Source organism: Homo sapiens, chromosome 15, assembly GCF_000001405.40.
Source record: "Homo sapiens chromosome 15, GRCh38.p14 Primary Assembly".
Classification (NCBI taxonomy): Eukaryota; Metazoa; Chordata; class Mammalia; order Primates; family Hominidae; genus Homo; species Homo sapiens.
The window spans coordinates 69,540,631-69,561,148 of record NC_000015.10 but is presented as its reverse complement, the minus strand read 5'-3'; the positions used below and the strand labels follow the sequence as shown (position 1 = coordinate 69,561,148).

Below are 20,518 nucleotides of genomic sequence, written 5' to 3'. Positions count from 1 at the left end.
CCCCATAAGCCCAACTGGGACTCTTCTGTTCTTCTTAAAGGCAGCTGCCTTGCATGGAAACTTGCTGGGTGCAAGTCCCAAGCTAGAAAGAGATAAATCTTCTGAACACTGGTCATAAGGCTACAGGAGAGAAGAAGGAAATTCAGAAATAAAGGTGCTTTCTCTGACCCCTGAGCTGTCCATACAAGAGAGCTGGTGGAGTGGAAAGAATCCTGGACTCAGAATCAAGAAATCTGGGTCCTGCTGCAGCTGCTGGCTCTGACTGGCTGCCCCTTCTGTCTTCACCTCCCTGACCTTCAACCTCTGTATCTATGAACTGAGGGATGCAGTCCCTGCTGGGCATATTCAGGGTCAGGCCAGACAAGCCCATTCCAAGGTGGGAGCACACTCTGCAGACAGAAAACACTGTCCCAGTTTAAGGAATCGGGATATTTGCTGAGAGACCCTGGGAGATGCCCCTCCTGAGCCTGAGACCTTCTGACATCACCAAGTCGCAATGGAATGGACCATGGCTGTGGTTATCTATTTTTCTAGGTAGGTGACTGTTGGAATTTGGGTGTCCTTTCCCAAAAGCTAGATGGGCAAAGGGAATACATGTTGTTTGCAAATTCCTTGAAAAGTCAAAAAATCATGATTGCTTACTTGCTGTTATTTTTGAGACAGGGTCTCACTCTGTTACCCAGTCTAACAGAATCGTGCTCTGTCACACAGGCTGGAGTGCAGTGGGACGATCATAACTCACTGCAGCTTTAAGCTCCTGGATTCAAGCAATCCTCCTGCCTCAGTCTCTCAAGTAGCTGGGACTACAGGTGTGCACTACCACACTTGACTATATATATATTTTTTTTTTGTAGAGATGGGGTCTCACCATGTTGTCCAGGCTGATCTCGAATTCCTGGCCTCAAGTGGTCCTCCCACCTCAGCTTCCCATAAACAATGGGATTACAGCATGAGCCACCATGTCCAGTTGCTTGCCTTTTAATATTTTTGTAAAATAATAGGGTTAAAAAAATACTTGCCCTCTGTGTCTCAAATGAGGCCAGAGGACTGTGATTGGATATCACCCCTGGTCCACAATTTCTTGCCAAGAAAAAAACCACAGCACTCCTATCTTCAACTAGAGGCCATAGCAGTGTGAGTAACCCCAGGGTATTACTTGGCACTGCATTGTACAAGAGAATAGAGGGAACTTAAAACCTTTTGGCCATCTCTACCTCTTGGTATCTGCTCTCATGATGATAAGGAGAATCAGAGAAGGCTGCAACTCAGAGGAGGCATCTACTTTGATAGATCTTTAAACAGGGGCTTAACAGGGAACAGCCGCAGCTTAAAGATTACATTTATGAAAGGATACAGGCAAAGTGGTCAGGAGCTCGGGCTTCAGAGCTAAGTGCCTGGGGTAGAATCCCAGCTCTGCCACTCGTGGTGCTGTGAGGCCTTAGGCAGGTTACCTAACTTCTCTGAACTTCAACAACACTTCTCCCTGTGAAATGGAAACAATACCCCTGGAGGGACTGCCCCTCAGTGCGGCACCTCACCCACGATAAGCCCTCAGTAAATAATAGGGACTTTTATGGTTATTTTTGTGATGTGAGCAGGACAGACCCTAGTGAGAATGAGCTGTCATTGCCCATATGTGACTGCAGAGGATGCCTTGCTCCCAGTGAGGAAACCCACCAGCCTTCCCTAGAAAACCTACCATCAGAGCCTTGGGTCAGCACCGAGATTTTACCGTTCAAGTGGAGACGCGCACTTCGTTTCAAGTGTGTGGCCTATGAGAGCCGCTCGGATGGGCTTCCTCATCAGAGGGACCTCTCCAAGGCCTCCTCCTCCTGCATCGACCAGTAGCCCTGCCCTCAGCGCAAAGAGAAGGCTGTGGGGTTTGAAGACAAAGTTCTCCGGCATAGAGATGGGCCGGTCTATTACCTTCTGCTTATAGATGGGGCAGTGAATGCCCAGTGTAAGGAAAGGACTTGCCCGAGGTCACAGAGGAGGTCAGTGGCTGCACAGGTTTTTTTGTGGCAATAAGAAAATGGGCTGATGAGGCTGGGTCTTTAAAGGCAAAACCAGTGACAGGTTATCAGGGAGAAGTTTAAGCTTGCCTTAAAAGTGGAGCGGATGGGGGCCCAATTCACCTCCAGTAAATAGTTATGAATTAGGGTTTATCTACAGCAATTAAAAACAAATAAGTAAATCGTACCTGCATTGGCATGCTTCGTCTCAACCTACTGATATACCTACCCTCACTGGAAACGTCCATCTCAACTAAGGTTGTTTCAGAACCTTTGCTTTCGGAACAAGGGCACACAAACACGGGGGTAATTTATGATTGTAATTTATGACGTGTTAAGTAGAGATAACTATATTTCTCCAATCTGCATGGCCTAACATCTGGTTAAGTAAGGAAAATGGGCCCGGAAGATGTGGTATCGATGATCCCCCTATAAGGAGAAGTCTTAGCTAAGGTTGGGTGCATTTGGTGAGTGTTGAGCCACGGCCAACCTGCTTCCGGGCCTAGGGCACTCCCATCCCTGCCCCAACATGGTCCCACAGAGCTCAGGCACAGGCCACAAGGTTCCCAGCCTCCATCAGACCCCAGCTTTCCCCCTCTCCTGCTCTGCTCCTGGCTCCATGAGACAGTAGCATGCAGACTATGAACCAAGAAAAAGTTAAAAGCAAAAAGGAGAAAACTTGTTAAAACCACTGCTGTTTTTAAGGGTCAAGGAAGGATTCCTTGACCTGCCCTGGAGGCAAGAAAACAGGTCACATAAACACCACACCCCTTTCTCCAATCAGCCTAGGGTTACAGACTTACTTCTGTTAGGCAAAGACCTCCTTTCAAGAAGAGAATATGCTGGGCCACTCTGCAGATCTGGAGGAGTTTGGAGTAAGAGTGGGTGCCCCAGACATTGGACCAAGCATTCCACAGGTAGAAGGCTTGGAAGCTGGAAGCCCAGTGAACATGCACCTGGTTAGAGGGATCAGGAAGCCTCAGCTCTGGAGTGGATTAAGATGCAGGTAGAAACAGCTCAGAGTGGGTCTCTAATCCCATCTAATCCACTCTGGGCTCAAGGATCCCAGAAATCCCTTACCAAGCACTTTCTTTGTCTCACCCGCAGTGACCACCTCCCTCCCTTTCCCTTGGAAAGCCCAAGTTATCAGGCAGTGAAAGAACTGGCCCCTGACTCTGCTGCTATAACATCTCCCATGCCACACTGCTGCTTCTGAACATGCAGGCCCTTGAAACAGGAAAAGCAGTACCCACTTTCTCACTCCACAGCTCCACTCACAATTACCAACTGTTTACAGGAAAGACAATGAGAGTGCGTCCCCTGAGAGAAGGGGTTAATTATTACAAGTCAGGAAAACAGAGAGTTACAGTATGCTGACCCCCTCTACCTGAATACACAGTAACTAGTGCTGTTTTTGAAAACACCCAGGTTAGAGCCAGGTTTACATTTGACAAGCATCAGCTAATTACAACAATAATATGAACTACACAACAGCATCAGCATGGCTGATGAATCATTGAAAAGGCTGAGTGACTCTTAGAATGCCCAATTAATGATTCACCCTGTAAAAATGCATCTCCACGCTGGTGCCCAGATCTGGCTCATTATGTTAAAAGCTCTTACGCCACTGGGCCTTACATACAGACTCTAAATATCTTCAGAACTTTGAACTTTGAAATAAGTAAACACGAATATGCACTAACTAGGACTGGCTTCATGGGCACGCAACCTATGAGGCTAGTTATTCAGGGCCTGAGCTCCAAAGGGCACCACCCCCAACTTGGTTGAATGCTCTCTTGAAATTCTGAATAATTCTAGAACAGGGAGCCCCAGCATTTCCATTTTGCACAGGGACCTGAAAATGATGTTTCCAGGCTTGGGCTAAACTCTTAAAGAAGAAAGCAAGAGAAAGTGAGACACAGGAATCCACACATCAAGCCACTTTTGCCCCCATCTGAAGCAAAATGCCCCATTCTTTTAAAATTCTGAACAAGAGAAAGGTGTGGAATTTTTTTTTTTTTTTTTTTTCTGGAGGAAGTGTTTCGCTACATTAGAAATACCTTATGAGTAGGTCTGGCCCTGTCCTCTAAGCTAACCCCTCTCCTCCCTGACCACCCTCTGCAGAAAAACTCCTCTCTGACCTGCCGTGTCTGCAACCTGAGGTTGAGGTTGAGGGATAATTTCAGCTCTTTTCTGAGATAACAGAGAAGTCAGAGTCCTTGCTGTTTCCTTCTTCATAAAATGAAAGAGCATTGCGGGGGCAGCGGAAGGCAGAAGGGACTAAGTCAACCTTTCCCAGCCCTTTCTGAGATGTTCAAAAATGTTCACCCAGAGAGGGTCTCTATAGCAAAAAAAAAAAAAAAAAAAGAAAGAAAAAGAAAAAGAAAAAAAACCAAGTTTTGAAAACTCTGGGTCAAATAAAGTTAACTTTCTGAACTGGAGGACTTTCTCAGAACATTTAAAGAGTTAACAGGAATTGTGTGACTCTCCAAGCCTGGGGTGACAGCACTTTCCAAGCTCATTCTACTATAATTGATGTAACAACCCATCCACCCTGGGGAGTATTTACCATCAGGCTGAGGAATCTTGGACTTCAGAACCTCTCTGAATGCAGTGCAATGACCTGCACTGGTCATTGCAGAGCTCTGGAAGTACCCATACTGAGTGTTCACCTGGTCATATGCTTGGCTAAAATTTGCAGAAGTAAGATATTGCTGTATCCATTTTCTTTTCTTTCCTTTTCTTTTTTGAGAGGGAGTCTCACTCTGTCGCTCAGACTGGAGTGCAGTGGCACAATTTCAGCTCACTGCTACCTCCACCTCCCGGGTTCAAGTGCTGCATCCATTTTCTTAAAGAAAGGTCCTAAAATTGTGTGAGCTTTGGGACCCCCAAAACGCACATCCTCCTCTGCATCCATTTTCACATCTGGAGGCACCACCCTTACATCATAACTAACATCTTAACATGCACCCACATCTCGCATTTCATCTAATTTATAAATAACTGTAGGAGTTGAGTTGGAGCTGGTATAATGTCATTTGCTTAGTAGACTCATAATTAAACATTTTTTCATATTGGTTTTGCTCAGTTGCAAGGAATGTTAATTTTGGAGGCAACACTTTTTAAATTTCCATGTCACGATCATTTTCTTAGGTCCTGGGAAAGCATGTGGGCCCTGAGGACTAGGCCTACAGTGCAGGATGGATAAAATAGGGCTGCACTCAGCCAGCCTCTACAGTTCGAGAAATGCCATACTTATAGAGCAATACTGATTATTTTCATGGTCGTTTCCAATTCAGTGGAAATGTCGATTTAATATCTAATTCAGACTAAAGAGAGATTGGAGTGGTTGGGGGAGTCGAGTTTGGATTGCAGAAATTGAGCTTTTATTATTTTCGAGAAACAGCAGGTTTCCTTGAACTAGGTTAACAAGGTGTTATCTAACAAGACCTTAGGGGGCTGATTTAACGGTTAGGACAAGATTGTTGTGTAATTAGCTTATCAACTCTGTATATGTAAATGAAGGCTTTTAAAGTCTTAGGAAAACTGGCTCTTGCTCTTAAGTAATTTAACTGTTTCCCCTTGATGCTCTTCATTCTCTCCAGCTTGGACACTTCTTTCCTTAATTAAGCATTTATGGAAGTCCATCTTGTGCGCAGCACTGTGCCTAGGGATTGAAATATGAGTAAGACCCAGTCCCTGCTCTCCACCAGCCCATGGTCTAATCAGAGGTCCGCGAACCTTTTCTGTAAAGGACCAGATGGTAAATACTTCAGTTTTGCAGACCATCTCTGTTGCAATAATAACCCGACTCGGCCCTTCAAGTACAAACGCAGCCACGGACAACGTATCAACAAATGAGTGGCCATGTTCCAATAAAACTTTATTTACAAAAGCTACTTGGGCCATGGTTTGCAGACCCTCTGGTCTAAAGAGAGAGACAAAAATATAAATAATTTACTATGCAAAGATAGAAACTTAATTCTGTGCAATTATGGAAGCGCTAGCCAAGTGCTGTGGATTCACAGGGAAGAAAGAAGTAATTGATTTCCAGGAGAGGCCAGAAGCTTCCTGGAAGAGCCATTGCCTCTTGGTTCAGGCCTTTATGGTCCCCCAGTTGCTTTGTTCTTATCCATTTTTCCTCCCCATTGAGGCCAAGGGCTTCTGCGACCTGGCATCATTTTGTATCATTCCTGGGGCCTAGCTAAGATGTGAGCACAGGTCCTGCCTACAAAATCACAGCTTCTGAGTCAGCATCCAGTCAAATAAGGTTGATGTTGTTAGAGCAAAACTCCGATTGGGCTCTCACCCAGGCTTCAGATAAACACTTCTTGTTTGGAAAACCATGGTGCCTTTGAGGGGAATTAGACAATGTAATCTCCTCCTGCACGCAACCTCTGCTCTAACTCCTTTATTGTTCTTCCAGACACTTTCTCTTTGCATTTTCAATATCCAAATGCCATTTAGTTTATTGAGGCTTGTTTGCTCAGGGCTGGGCAAATAAAAGAACAAAGGAGGCTGTGAGCATCACCCCAGCCTTTGCTATCACGGGCTCTCAAGGTGAGCTTAGCAGCCTTCAGCACCAATCCCCTTAACAGGCTGCAGGCCAAGGTCGCTGGAGATGTGAGATGCAGGGCTATAAAGATGGGATAGGAGACAAGGCACTTTCTAAAAGGACTCCCGATAGCATATCTCCAATTCCACCAGGAACTAGGAAAAGGATGACACCCTGGCAATAACAGCAGGTAAATGAATTACTCACCCAGTAAAACTGATGGAGCTGATAACAGCAAGACCCAGAGATTGTTGGGTCAGAGGTTGCATCAGGAGACGGCTTCAGAGATTTAGGCTGTCGATCACCTTCATCAGCCTTTCTCCAAGACCTCTCCAAGTCAATATCCGATCTACCTAGGAGTACAGTGTGCTCACTGTGCCACCCAGGCAGGGGCCACCCCTAAGCCCTTTCTCTAGAAACACTCTGCAGCCCCCACTGCCCACTTGTTCCTGGTGTTCACCAGTGGGGGACAATGCTTGTGAATCCCCCAATATTTGTATGACTCTTGGGGAAGCTAGAGGAGGACAAATCAGAGAATGCTGGATCCAAAATATAACTTTCCTCAGGATATCAAATCCAGTTAGCACCAGCAAGCACCCTGCCCCTCCCCTTTGAACTCCCCAGGCTGCTTTCTGACCTGTAGGATGAATCTACGACTCTGCCTACCTGCCGCTCATAGCTCCTAGGAGTACAACTTCCAGCCACTGCTTCTCACGTGAAAACTCTCAGCTCAAGCACTGGAGGCAGAGTCCACTACACAGGGAGGCTAGGAGCCCGGGTCACTGACCTATATGAACTGCCACCAATAAAGAGCCTTTCTCTTAAAATGAGGAAGAGAAGGAAGAAGAGGCAGGTGAAGGCAGAATTGATTCATTTCCAGCCCCTGGGACTCTTTTGAGTCAATGGTTCCAGAACTGTAAAGTCTGTCTGTAAAGTCTGTAATTTAAACAAGCAAACAAACAAAACCTTCTACAGGTGTTGGGTGAAAAATCCCTCAGGTTTTTTCACCTTGGTGGGAAGGTCCAGGTGGTCAGATGACCTGGGGCATAGAATAATAAGGATAGAGGGGCCCTGTCTGGGGCTCTCCCAGGTGAAGTCAGCTCCTCATCACTGGCTTCTCATCAAGGATGGTGTAAAAGCCAACGGCGGCTCTACTTCATCTCCTCAAACAGACCCTTCCAAACTCAGGACTAAAGCTAGAGAAAGAAGGAGGGAAGGGAGGTGGCTTTGCTCCTGGCTCAGCTTCCATTGGCTGAGCTTCTACTGTGTGCCAGGCGTGCATTATCTCCTTTAGTCCTCTCACACTCCTAAGTGATGTGTGATAATCTTGTTTTATAGATAAGGACACTGACAACACTTTCCCTAGGTCCTCCTGCAACAAAGTGGCCAGGCTGGAAGTCAGCACAGGCCTGGCCTCAAACCCACGCTCTTGCCACTAACAAACTTCCGCAGAAAGAGAAGGAAGGTGTGTTTAATGTAAGTGTTAAATGTGTGACAGGAAATGGATGAGCCTGTGGGGGCTAAATTGACTTGCTGGGGTTAGGAGAATGGCATCCTGACTTGTTCTGATCCCTACTCTGACTCCTTTCTGATCCCCACTTCCCCACACATACTCTTGGTTGGGCCAGGGGATGCTAGCCTCAGCCCTTGGGATCCACTCCCACTTCATAAGAAACCAAAACCAAATGTGGGGTCCTGCCTTAGCAAAGGTGAGTGACAGGCAGAGCTGGGATGCTCTGTGCCCAAGGGCCCTCAATGGCCTGTACCTCCTCTCTACCACCTGGGCCCTTTGGCTCATTTCTACCCCCGCACCCCTTAAAGTCACCTTCTTGGATTAAGTCACTGTGCGTGCTGGCCTCTCCAGTCTCCTCCTCTCTCCTGGGGCATCTGAGACTCTGAGTCCTAAGCTGGAGGCTTCTCGTAGTCCCACAAGGCTCACAGCCAGGCCAGCCCACAGTTCTGCCCCAGCTAGGGTGGAACATGCGTGCTGTGGCTGGAGAAGACAGCTGACTCTGCAAATGCTCCTCAATCCTATTGTTTGACTACCATGCCTCTTTTCCCAAAAGAACAGCAAGTGTGTCTCCAGCCCTCTTCCTGAGACAGAACAGAGGGGCGAGAGGGTTTATGGTTAGGCACTTGGAACCATAAACCTTTCCCCATCAAGAAAGGTGGGGGGAAATGGGAGGGAGCTCATTTGTGGATGGAGATCATAACTGGATGTGGTCGGAGGGACCCCAAGAACCCAGTCTGTTCGCATGGCTGCATGGCCATTCTCCTTCGTAGCCTCTCCGCATATTGTACCGGATCTCTCAGCACCAGTGCTTCCCCACTTGCCTTCTCAAGGCCTGAGAGCCACTTCCTGCTTCTTTATGATTTCTGTGGTCTCCCAGCTTTAGCCTGCAAAAGGCCAACTGCAGCCTTGCCTCTACCCATAGATATCATTTCAGAATCTGTCTCTGATTCTACCTGCCTTATTCTCCCTGGGTTTCTTAATTCCAATTCCCAAGAGCCTGAATCTGCTTGGCCCATCTTCTCATACCAAGCCACACACTAAGTTACTGGTCACTCTGTAGATTGATGCTGATGGGTCAGTTTCCCTGCTCTGCTGGGGTCAGTCGGGTCTGAGGCAGATACAGTCACAAGGCTGCAATGGCCCAATGGCTTTTTCTTGACCATGGCACAAAATACAGCCAATTTACTGAGACAGTGTTATTGCAATAGAGAAAGAATTTAATAAACACAGGGCCAGCTAAACAGGAGACTGGAGTTTTATTACTTTGATCAGCCTCCCTGAAAATTCAGAAACTAGGGTTTTTTAAGGATAATCTGGGGGGCAGAGAGCCAGGAAGTATGGAACAATGATTGGTTGGGTCGGGATAAAATCAGAGAGGGTTGAAGCAAGTTCTTCCTGCTGCTTTCAGTTCCTGAGTGGGATCACAGAACTAGTTGAGCCAGTTTACCGACCTGGGTGGTGCCAGCTGGTTCATTAGAAGGCAGGGTTTGAAAAATATCTAGAACATCAATCTCAGGTTTTACAGTAGTGATGTTATCCATAGGAGCAAGTGGGGAGGTTAGGAATCTTGTGGCCTCTGGCTGCATGACTTCTGAGCTGTAATTTCTAATCTTGCGGCTCATTTGTTAGTTTTACACAGGCGATCTGGTTCCCAGGCAAGGAGGAGGTTTATTTCAGGAACAGGCTGTTATCATCTTTGTTTCAAAGTTAAACTACAATCTAAATTCTTTCTATACTTTACCCAGCCTATGCCCAGGAATGAACGAGGGCAGCTTGGAGGTTAAAAGCAAGATGGTGTTAGTTAAGTCAGATTTCTTTCACTGTCATAATTTTCCCATGTCAGATTTTTCTCATTGTCGTAATGTTTGCAAAGGTGGTTTCAAGGCTGACTGGGGACAGGGGCTGAGAGTTGGCCTTTCCGCTTACAAGGGTCTAACAGACTTTCTGAGTTGCTGCTCACCTGATGGAAAACCTTCACTCCATCCCCTCTTAGGTGTGGGGCCTTGGACAAGTCACTAAAGCTCCCTTAGCTGCAGTTTTCTCATCTGCAAATGAGGAACTGTCTATAAGCAGCTCTCCAGGTTTGAATCCAGAGTTGTGAGATGCAAATAAGCGCCCAGCACAGCACCTGACTGAAAAGGAGTCCCTCTCTCTCATCCAACTGCAGCCAGGGTGGGCTGCATTCTTCAGAGAAATCACCCTGCCGACTGCCCTCCTACTTCCTCTCCACCTTCCCAGAGGTTACCCACCCACCCTTTATGCTCTGACTCCAGGATACCTCTTCCAGGAAGCCCACCCCAGTCACCCTTGCTGTCCGCAACCCCCTCTCAGAACCCTATGCTACTTTCAGGCAGCATCACACAATGTCAAGTTTAATAATACCCTGTCCAATCCCACAGGCTCATTTCTCCACATGTGTTCATTACCTCTCCAGAGTGTGAGCTCCCTGGCTGGAAACCATGCCTTTGCTTTTAACCCACTAAGGTCATCACACAAGGCTATACAAACAGCCAGTGCCCCAAAAATACTTGCTGATACACATTCCAAGGACATAAAAAGGGCCTAAGCCCAGTTTCCTTCTCTTTTAAAAGAAGGCAGGACAATGATAATAACCACTACCTGTAAGGCAGTGTGTATTTGGTAAAGACTTGCTACATTCATTGTCTTGATTAATCAGCAACCCAAAGAGGTGGGTGGAATTCATCCCACAATGCAAGTGCGAATACTGAGGACCAGTGAGAGTCTGTGATGTGCCCGAGAGCACAGCTAGTAAGTGGCAGAGTCGTGATTTGAACCCAAGTCTTGTGACACCAAACCCATTATTTTTTTTCTGTCATATGGGGCTGTGAGTTTTAAAAGCCAAGAGACAGGGTTCAAGGGGTGGCCAGTAGTTTTGCTATAGAGAAAACTGCAGCCATTGGGAAACAGGCAAATTGTTTACACCTAGATGCAGAGAACACAGAGAAGGCAAACTGCCACTGGCTTCAAAGACGCAATGGAACTTGGACATTTGGAAAGAAGGAGAGGCACTGGAGGAAGCAGAAGTCATCTGTGGGTGCAAGTGTACGGCTAGAGCTAGCTCAAGGGGAGTGCTGAGTAGAACGCAGAGCCCAAAGGGAGCAATATAGTGGCAAGCTACAAGGGAGCCCGGGACCCCAAGCTGGGGACGGTGATGATAGCGTTCTCAGGAGGAGAGAGACACTGAGAGATGCTTGTGAGTGATCACTCTACAGGATGCAGTGAGGGGCTGGCTGGGTCTGGAGCAAGTAAGAATAAACCAAGGTCTTTCCAAGCCCACAGCCAGAGCCATTGCTAAAATACAGTTCCCATTAACCAATATGGGGGTGGCAAAAATTGCCACTGACTTTGGGAAGGAAACAGGCAGTATCACACGATGTCAAATTTAATAAGTTCCTGTCGCCATGCCCTATCTCATTACTCTGCACATGTTCATTATCTCCCCAGATCGGTGTTAGCTGGCTTTTGGAAATGATGTTTTCTCTTTCATCCTCCATAGCTCCTTATGCAGGGCTGAGCACATAGAAGGAGCCCAGCAAATAGCAGTGGATATAAATTTCAAGAGCATAAAATGGTCCTAAACCCCAGGGTCAGTGGAGGAACATTTCAGAGAGATTAGATATCAACTCAATCTTTTCCTAAAAGCACTTTGCGGTAGCAGCCAGAGGCATCCAACAACATCCAACAATGAAACTGTGCCCCTCGAGGTAAAGAGTACCCCATCACTCGAGGTATCCAAGCAGAAACTAGACAACCATCAGAGGCTCTGTGGAAGGAATCCCTGCATTGGGAGGGAGACCAGACCGAACAGCTCCTACAGCCCCCTCCATCTCTCAGATGCTATGGTTCAAAAATGCAGTGGATTTGGTCTCCAGCTTCATTGGCATGCCCCATTCAGAAATAGCCAGACTGACTTAAAAAAAGAAATCTCGGTGCCTCTTTCTATTTCTTTCAAACCCTTTAAATGTCAAGTTCCAGACCACTGCTTTGCCTTGCCGGGTGGTTGGATACCAAGCCCATGAGCGCTGGATTTAGAATAGCACGCCTGGTGTGGCCGGAGGAGGAGTCTGACTTCATGCATTCCTAATGCACGTCTATTTTTACAGCCATGAGACACGTCGCCTTCCCTCGCTGTTCACATCAATATCACACAGGGACGCTGACACAGGGCCATCTGTCCCCGCAGACGCGTTCTTTTGGGAGGGGAGGCAGAGGGAACGGGAGGGGGATAGATATGCATTTTTGTTCTAAGTCTGAAAATTGATTTGGGATGTGATAGATCCCAGGCTTGAGTTGGCCAGAAACGCCTTTTGCCAAACCCTGTTGGGGATAGTGTCTTATTTTTTCATCTCCTTCTGAAGTTGAGCACTGTCGGCCATCCACCCAAGCAATCATTCACTCACTCACTCATGCACGCACTTGCCTGTGGCGTGCCAGCTCTGGGCCACGCTTCCTTTCGCCATGCTTGACTTTTCCGGAGGCCATGCCCGCAATGCAACAGGGTGTAGAGGTAGAAAGGGGCATGACCTGGAGGGTAAACAGATGAGGCAAGCCTTGATGAGCACCTGTAGTATACGTCCAGGGCTGTGCCCAATCTGCAAGTCCAACCAGGGGCTTTTCCTTAAAACAACTGTCCGTGTGTAAGACAAGAGATGAGTCCAGACTTGACAGCCAGAGAAGGAAGGGCTTCTTGAGTGCTGGAACAAAAACAAAGTGGTCTCAAGAGAAATGGGAGCTCTGGGTTAGTGTGTCTGTGGACCCCAGAACCTGGCCCAAGCTGGCTCTTCTGGGAGAGCCCCACACTCTGGGAAAGGAGCCCTCAGAATGCATCTACACAAAAGAGCCCCACTGGGAGCTCAGCCCTTGGGTGCTTGTTATAGATTCAGGTTCCCAAAGTCTTTGGGGCCCACCAAAGACTCCCTCCTCTGGTAATGCAACCACTTTTCCTTTGACACAGCTCCCCCATTCCTGGTGGTCCTGAGGGACCTGTCAATCATGCAACCCCACCTTGCCTTGGTAAAGATCCAGTGCCAGGTCCAACCAATCAGAGTACTCTCTGAAGGAAACTACAATGATTAATTCAGGGAGGCATGGGTGATCCTGGTGAGGCAGTAAGAGGCTGCCCTGGGACTTTTCTGTCAGAGGTAACAGGGAAAATGACCTCAATTGTTATTGCTGAATTGAGACAATATGAGTCTGAAACCACCAGTCACCATGTTGCCTCCTCCATGGAAAAGACCGGTATGAAGGATAAAGCCAACAGGAGACCACAAAAGCCAAGAGGAGAAAGATAGAATCTGATGACTTCACTTGACCCCTGGTTCCACCATGTGGAAACGAGCCCTTGAATTAGCTACTGGTGAGAGCCAAAAAATCCTTTTCCCCCTCTCTTTCAAACAAATTTGCCTTGAACAGTTTACCCACCAATTGGCACTTAGAAATCCTTGGCCAGGTGGGGCATTAAGAGTGGGATCTTGGGCCGGGCGTGGTGGCTCACGCCTGTAATCCCAGCACTTTAGGAGGCTGAGGCAGGCAGATCATGAGGTCAGGAGATCAAGACCATCCTGGCTAACACGGTGAAACCCCGTCTCTACTAAAAATACAAAAAATAAATAAATAAATAAATTAGCTGGGTGTGGTGGTGGGCGCCTGTAGTCCCAGCTATTCGGGAGGCTGAGGCAGGAGAATGGCGTGAACCCGGGAGGTGGAGTTTGCAGTGAGCCAAGATGGCACCACTGCACTCCAGCCTGGGCGACAGAGCAAGACTCTGTCTCAAAAAAAAAAAAAAAAAAAAAGAGTGGGACCTCGGCATTACTTGTGTTCACCCTCTGAGGATCTCCAAATCCTGCACTGGAGTGTGTACTGGTGCAGGGGGCAGCCACAGGGTCCCTGGTCCACCCATTCCAGACCTGATCAGAGATGTCACCCTCCAGGGCCAGCAGCTGCAGGTGACGGGGCATCTTTGTGAGCACCCACCCTAGACTCCAGCTGTCCCTGACTTGGCAGGTCCCATTGGTGCTGCAGCTTCCAGACCAGTGAAGCATCCTCTGGCCTCAGGCAGCTGCCACTTTGTTTCAGCTCTGGGAACAGACTAAACTGACCTTGTGTGAAGCTGGGAAATGCCTGGACATTTGGGAGAAGGGGGTCTGAGAGAGAGACGAGGCTCCTAGGAAATCTGAGCACGTAGGGGCTTAAACCCTGTTCTTTTGACCATTGCTAGAAGAGGCATTATTTACACTCAGTCCACAAAGCTGGTTGTCCCAGGTCTGCTGAACCACAAGGAAGAAATTCAGTTTCCAGGGTAATAGGGGGACAGAGCTGACACCCAGTGAACCACTCCCCACCCTAATATAAGACAAATCTAGGGGAGGAGGTTCGTTTGAAAGCCACCAGGACTCACACAGATGAAGACAAGACAAGATGGTCTTGCTCTGGAGAAGGCCATAGCCCCAGTTAGAAGACTCTTATCTGAAAAGAAAGCCATAACACAGTGTGGTCTGAAGCCCATCTTTTAACTAAATTTCTTTTATTGTGGCAAAATATACATAATATAAAATTTGCCACTTTAACCATTTTAAGTGTACAATTCGTTGGCAGTAAGTACATTCACAATGTTGTGCAACCATCACCACTATCTATTTTCAGAATGTTTCCGTCATCCTGTGCTGAAACTCTGTACCTACGAAGTAATCATCCCCATTCCCTCCCAACCCACCAGCCACTAGTAGCTTGGTTCCACTTTTTGTCTCTATGAGTTTTTCATTCTGGGCACTTCTTATAAGTGGAATCATTCAATATTTCTCCTTTTATGCCCAGCTTATGTCACTTAGCATAATGTTTTCAAGGTTCATCCATGCTGCAGCATGTCAGGATTGCATTTATTTTATTTTTTATGTTTGTAGGTATAGAGTAGGTGTATATATTTATGGGGTACATGAGATATTTTGACACAGGCATACAATGGATAATAATCACGTCGGCCGGGCACAGTGGCTCACACCTGTAATCCCAGCACTTTGGGAGGCCGAGGCGGGTGAATCACGAGGTCAGGAGTTCGAGACCAGCGTGGCCAATATGGTGAAACCCCGTCTCTACTAAAAATACAAAAATTAGTTGGGCGTAGTGGTGCATGCCTGTAGTCCCAGCTACTTGGGAGGCTGAGGCAGAAGAATCGCTTGAACCTAGGAGTCAGAGGGTGCAGTGAGCCGAGATCGTGCCACTGCACTCCAGCCTGGGCAACAGAGCGAGACTCCATCTCAAAAAAAAAAAAAGAAGACTATAGATAATATAGATAATAATCACATCAGGGTAAATGGGGTATCCATTACCTCAAGCATTTCTCCTTTCTTTGTGTTACAAACAATCCAGTTATATTCTTTTTGTTATTTTTTCTTTTTGATATTTTCTTTTCTCAGCATTTGAAAGGAATCCTTTATTTTTAAATGTTCAATTAATTATAGTTAACTGTAGTCACCCTGTTGTGCTATCAAACACTACTTATCTTATCCTTTTTGTGATTGAATAATATTCGCTCGTATGGATAGACCATATTTTGTTTACCCACCCATCCACCGACGGACACTCGGGCTGTTTCCACCTTTGGCTATTGTGAATGAAGCTGTTATGCACATTAATGTAAAGTATTTGTTTGAGGGGTCACAGGATGATTCTATGTTCAATGAGGAAGTGCTGAGGAATATGTGAGGCACATGGATGGAAGGATGGGTGGAGGGCACAGGAGGATGGGAGAAAGAACAGAAACTTGAGGTTCAGAGGGACCAGTCAGAGTCCCCACCTGGTCCCTTACTGTGGCTTTGGATCTGCGACTTGACCTTCTGTGTCTGTCTGTTCATGAACAGAGTGGAGATAATCCCTCCATCTCCTAGGGGTGAGGTGAGGATGACACATGTGACAAGGTGGAGGAAGGTCAGCGCCTTCACAGCTGGCACAGAACCCCTCTTAGGGGTAGATCTGCCTTGGTTTGAGGTGATGTCTGAGCAAATGCTTCTAATAGAAGCAGGTGTGTCACATATAGTTGTGTGGGTTACTTTCTGGACTGGACAAGGACACCAGTTCAAGAGGGAAACTAGGGGCTGAAACCTAGCCTGCTCTACACTCACCCAGCCATGTGACCTGGCACAGGGCTGAGCCATCCCTCGCCAACTCCCACACAGCAGTGAATGTCGAGTTTCTGAGTCAAATCTGACCCCCTGGCTCCCCAGTATTCTATGGCTCCCCATTGCCCTAGGATAAAGTTCGAACTCTTCTGTGTGCCTTACAAGGCCTGCAGATCCAACCCCTCCCTGCCTCTATAGCTCCCACTCAAGCCACCTACTCCTTGAACCTACTTCTCCCACTCTCCTGAATTTCTTGAAATCCTCTTTCTCACTTCACTTTTCAGATGTGGAAACTGAAGTTCTACCAAGGTAAATGCCTTGCTCAAGGTCACACTGCTGGCAAAAAGCACAGCCAGGTTAGAACCCATATTCAGTAAACCCAAAGTCCACACTCTTTTGGCTACAGGGTTAGAGTGCAGAGAGCACTGTGGGTCAGGAGCCCAGGGATGTCATACCAGCTCTGCACTTGCTAGCGGGATGACCTTGGGCAAGTCACTTCGGTAAGATTCTTGGTCCTGCCCCATACTAGCTTTGTTATCACAAAGCACTATACAATCCGAGGAGCATTAGGGGGTGTTGCAATGGGAGGATATTACTGCTATTATATGGGAGTTGGCTATTCTTGTCTCTTCTGCCTTCAGTGGGAACTCTGTTGTGCCTTGTGAATAAAACCTGTAGAGGAAGCACAACTTGAAATGGAAAAATGTCTGGCCAGACCAGCTCAATTTCCAACGGCCTGGGACATTAAAGTAGTCAGGTACCTGGAGATTGCTAAAGCACTCTGAACAGACATCCAACTCCAGCACTTCATTTCCTTAACAAAGATTGGAATGAACAGAGAAATGACACTGCAGGAATCTATTTTACAGACAAAGATTAGGAAAATAAGAGAAAATGAATTTCCATCACTTCTATCTGCAGATTGAAGCTCTTCAATTGCCTGGCCAAATGTCACTGCACTTATGTCAGCATATCATGCTACCAGTCCAGAGGACAGGAATCAGCTCACACCAGGGGGCCCCAGCCTCTTGCTGGCCCCAGCAAGGACTAGGGTACTCTGACTCACAATGGACAGCTCCCTGGGATTTGGGGTATGGGACAATCCTTTGGGAATTCTCTGGAAATGCTGTCTACTGGCCCAGACAATCATTTCCCAATAGCATTTAATGGAGTCTGACACCCTTCTAGGGCTTTATGCAGAGGTGAACCCATCACCTCCTTCCCACCACCCAGATGCAGAAGTGGCCAAATAAATAAGCAACTTTGCTACAGATTTCCATATTGATTCTCCAAACCACACACATGATCAAAACTTGTACAGGCACACCCTATGGCCCAGCAACTTCCCTCCCCCGTAATATTAGTTATCTCTTACTGCATAACAAACTGTCTCAAAATTTAGTGGATTAAAACAACAAACATCTATTATCTCCATTTCCATGGGTCAGGAATTTCGGGGCAGTCTTGCTGTTTGCTTCTGGCTCTCAGCTGGGCGCGGTGGCTCATGCCTGTAATCCCAGCACTTTGGGAGGCTGAGGCAGGCAGATCACAAGGTCAAGAGATCGAGACCATCCTGGCCAACATGGTGAAACCCTGTCTCTACTAAAAATACAAAAAATTTAGCTGGACGTGGTGGTCCCAGCTACTCGGGAGGCTGAGGCAGGAGAATGGCTTGAACCCAGGAGGCGGAGGTTGCAGTGTGCTGAGATCGCACCACTACACTCCAGCCTGGCAACAGAGCGAGATTCCATCTTAAATAAATAAATAAAAATAAAGAACATGGTGCTGTGCGAAAAAGATAAAATACAGAATGAGCTCTATAGCACCAGTCCATTGATATCAATTAAAGATACGCACAGGTAAAACAACAAAACACATTTTGTAGGAACACTTACAAACAAAATACATGTTAGAACAGTGATCTATGGGGGTGGAATAGGAATGGGAGAGGGCAATGGGGAATAAAGGAATAAGTAAACAAACATATAGGGTCTTATAGGAACCAGTAATTATGGGGTGTCACGGCCTGAGAAATAACTCAACACTCTGCACCTGAGACCCAAAAGAACCCTTGCACAAGGAAACAGACCACTTCCCTACACCTGGATCAGCTGGGGTAATGCCACCTACTACACAGCTCTCTTCAGGATGGTTGATTTGTTGTTGTTGAGGATGATGTTGTTTGTTTGGTTGGTTGGTTGGCTGGTTTTGCTCTGCATCCAAACCCCCATCTCCAACCCAATCTCGAGAATTCCAGACTGCATTCGCACCTGGGTATTGCACAAACTGAATTCATTACCTTCCTTCTAAATCAGCTCTTCTTCCGTAGGCTCTCTCAGGGAAGGGCTCCACCATCCACCCAGCCATCCCATCAGAAACTGCATTATCATCCATCCTTCCACCCTCTCGCTCTGCCCAGATCTGATAAGACACCCTGTAGATGCCAGTTCAAGCTCTTATCATCCCCTCTTTCTAGATAGGGCCTTCTTGTCTGCAGGTGGGAGTATAAAAGGTACTTGCCTTCATATCACTAAGACACCAAGGTGCAAGGAACAAACAAACAAATAGCTCACACTTGTTCAAGCAAAAACTAGCACACATGTCGCCAGGCCCTGCTTTCCATCTCCAGGCCCAGCTCTACTGTCTGCCCTGGGTAGGCGTCCCCTACCCACAGCTTGCAGACAGGTTCTCCTCGGGAGGGCATAAGCTGGAGGCAGAAACTCCTGGTCCTACATCTTCTCAGCTTCACGTCCTTCAGGGGAAAGTAAGACCTTCCCAAGCATCGTTGGCTCTCTTTGGGTCACGTGGCCATCCCTGAATCAACCACAATGGCCAAGGAAATGCTCTGATGGGCCAGGCCTGAGTTCATGTCACACCTCTGCACTGCGGTAGAGTCACCTCTCAGATGCACAAGGAATGGCAGTGGGGCAGGATGGAGTCCCCTCTATGGGAATCAGGACACAGTGACCAGATGAAGGGCCAATAGCACGTGGGCAGCTCCATGGTCAATGGCTACCACTATCTCACAGGGTGTCATGAGGATGCATTGAGATTACATGCTGGGCATATAAAATATTCTCAATAAAAGTCACTATTTACTATCACATTTAGGATTAAAAAAGAAAAGAAAAAAAGGCACTATTACCAGCACTTGCATCAACATCAGCGTCATTAACTTGCGGGTAAGTATTTTAGCATATTGATATTTTTTAAAATTAGAGGCCAGGCACGGTGGCTCACACCTGTAATCCCAGCACTTGGAGAGATCGAGGCAGGTGGATCACCTGAGGTCAGGAATTCAAGACCAGCCTGGCCAACACGGTGAAACCCTGTCTCTACTAAAAATACAAAAATTAGCCGGGCACAGTGGCGCATGCCTGTAATCCCAGCTACTTGGAAGGCTGAGGTAGCAGAATTGCTTGAACCCAGGAGGTGGTGGCTGCAGTGAGCCAAGATCATGCCATTGCACTCCAGCCTGGATGACAGAGCGAGACTCTGTCTCTAAATAAATACATAAAAACTAGAAATCCAAAAATTAGCAACACAAGCAAACGCAAGCCCTTATAATCCTTAAGCAGTTTTAGCAATAGTAGATAATGGCCAGTGAGTGCCACTCATGATTTTATTCTGCTTCCATAAATTAAAAAGCTTTTACATGTCACAATTTTCTCATGAGTACGTACATTATTTGTTGACAGACAGCATCTCAGTTTTAAATTTAAAACACTCTATTAGAGTTAATCAAAATCTTTAGGAGAAAAGACATATTCCAGTTTATCAGAATTCCTGCAGTTCTTCTGGTGGGTTCCACACACACAACTTGGGCCCAGGTTTTTACCCAGGGTCCTTGGCTCCGTCTTCAAGTCTTTTCTACCTCAAAGTGTTCTCACCTCCACTAAAACGTGAACTCCCAGAGGGCTGAGAGCCTGTCCACACTTCCCCGAGTCCCCCAAAGCTGCCTGTTAAGGGTGAAGTCTTCTGAGTTGGTTGTGTGGCTGTCTAGGGGTCTGGCTAGCCACTGTCTGGCCGTTCATCTGACTGACAGCACGGCCTGGATCCCAGTCATTGGCAGAATTCCCATCCGTCTACACAGCCCACATCCTCCCAGCCCCGCTGCCAGCCAGGGCTTAGGTCCCATCCATTAGAGGCTCCATTTGTGCCATTAACGGGAGCCCCGGCAACAGCTGCCGGCAGCAGGTGCAAGGCCAAACAGAGCCCGGCTCTGGAGAGAAATCTTTTGCTTGTTGGAACCAGCTGTAGGGACCATGAAGCAAAGTGGGAGGGGGCAGCTCTTTCTGAAAGC

General features: G+C 47.2%; 2 annotated features.

Moving 5' to 3' along the window:
* Window positions 2,084-2,585: an enhancer, noted in NCBI's record as "H3K4me1 hESC enhancer chr15:69850903-69851404 (GRCh37/hg19 assembly coordinates)". NCBI's record gives its function as "activates a minimal SCP1, AML or CMV promoter by ChIP-STARR-seq in primed H9 embryonic stem cells {active_cell/tissue: H9 hESC(primed)}" and the evidence as "EXISTENCE:reporter gene assay evidence [ECO:0000049][PMID:30033119]".
* Window positions 2,586-3,089: an enhancer, noted in NCBI's record as "H3K27ac-H3K4me1 hESC enhancer chr15:69850399-69850902 (GRCh37/hg19 assembly coordinates)". NCBI's record gives its function as "activates a minimal SCP1, AML or CMV promoter by ChIP-STARR-seq in primed H9 embryonic stem cells {active_cell/tissue: H9 hESC(primed)}" and the evidence as "EXISTENCE:reporter gene assay evidence [ECO:0000049][PMID:30033119]".